Below are 1,627 nucleotides of genomic sequence, written 5' to 3'. Positions count from 1 at the left end.
ATACAGCTTAAATATACAGACACAAAAGTTGAGATCATACAAATGCTTATCAAAAGAAAGTTGGTATGGTTATTCTTATATCAAACACAGTAGATTTTGAGGGAAAAAGCATTACTAGACATGAAGAAAAACACTTTATCATGATAAAATGGGCAACTCACCAAGAATATATAACAATTCTAGATTTATGTTTCTAAAAACATAGCCTCAAAATATATAAGGAAAAAAATCACTGAATTAAAAGGGAAAGTAGATAAAGCCACAATCAGAGAACCAAATGTCAACCAGCGGACAAAAAGTTAATAAAGTATAGAAGATTTGCACATACTAAGTAACAAATTGACCCAATATCTGAAGAAATATTTACCAAAATGTAGACAACATACTGAGCTATAGAGCTTTCTTGTAAAAATTCAAATGATTGAAGTTATTCAGAGGTTTCATGTTCTCTGACTACACTAAAATGTGGGTAGAAATATACAAAATAAAGCAAATGAAAAAAGTGGAACTAGAAAATGAAAATTAGAACATATTTTAAACTGAACCATAATGAGAATTATATATATCAAAACTTGTATGCAGTTGAAGTCATTCTTAGACTTTCAAATATATGTAGTTGAAAAAGAAATATCAAAATTAGTGATCTGAGTATCTATCTCAGAGAGTTAGATATAATAAAACCAAATAAAATGGAAGGAAGGAAATAATAAAGATAAGAACAAAAATCAATGAACTAGAAAGCAAATGTGCAACAGATTCAACAAAGCCAATATATTAAATTTTTTAAGACGAAGAAAATATATAAATTCCTAGCACAACTGATTAAGAAGAAGTAAGACATGGTGCAAATTATTCTTATCAAGGGCTGAATGAAGGAACTTTGCCACAGAAATTACAAACATTGAAAAGATAGTAAGGTGATATATAAACATATTTATGCTAATTATTAATTAATGTGAAAATTTATATGAAACAGACAAATTTTTAGAAACACACAATTTCCCAATACTGATAGAAATGGAAATTTCTAAAATCTGAAGGTTCCAATATTTATTTTTTTGAAATGAAACTTAAAAAAAATAGATAGTATTGTGTGTATTTGAGGTTCACAACAATGCTATGGGATATTAATACATATAAATAGTAAACTGTTACTAAAGTGAAGCAAATTAACAAAGCTATCATCTCACATGGTTACTTTGTGTGTGTGTGACAGGAGCAGCAAAAATCTACTGATTTAACCAAAATGTCTAATACAATACAATTTTGTTAACTTTAGTTCTCATGTTGTACATTGTTTCTGTAGACTTGTTCATCCTAAATATTTGGATATAAAGAAATGGAATCTTAATACAGATAATGATGATGATGACATTTGGAGAACCTCTTAGACCCTGGCTTCAATTTTTTTAGATCATGGGATTTTTTTGTTAGCCTAACGTCTTGTTCTCTCCCCATCCCTTATTTATTTGTCCTGACTGCAGAAAGTATTACCTGACGGAGGAGTTGGGAGAAAGAACTGGGCATGCTCAGTTCGGTCATCTCTTTCCTGTTTTCAGGTCTGACTTCCAGCAAAGAGGAGCTTTCTGGGCTCTCTGCACGTAATAATTTGCTTGCTCTTCCTGAG

The sequence above is a fragment of the Homo sapiens genome, chromosome 13 (genome assembly GCF_000001405.40).
Source record: "Homo sapiens chromosome 13, GRCh38.p14 Primary Assembly".
Lineage (NCBI taxonomy): Eukaryota > Metazoa > Chordata > Mammalia > Primates > Hominidae > Homo > Homo sapiens.
The sequence above is the reverse complement of the archived record's forward strand: the minus strand, read 5'-3'. Positions refer to the sequence as shown.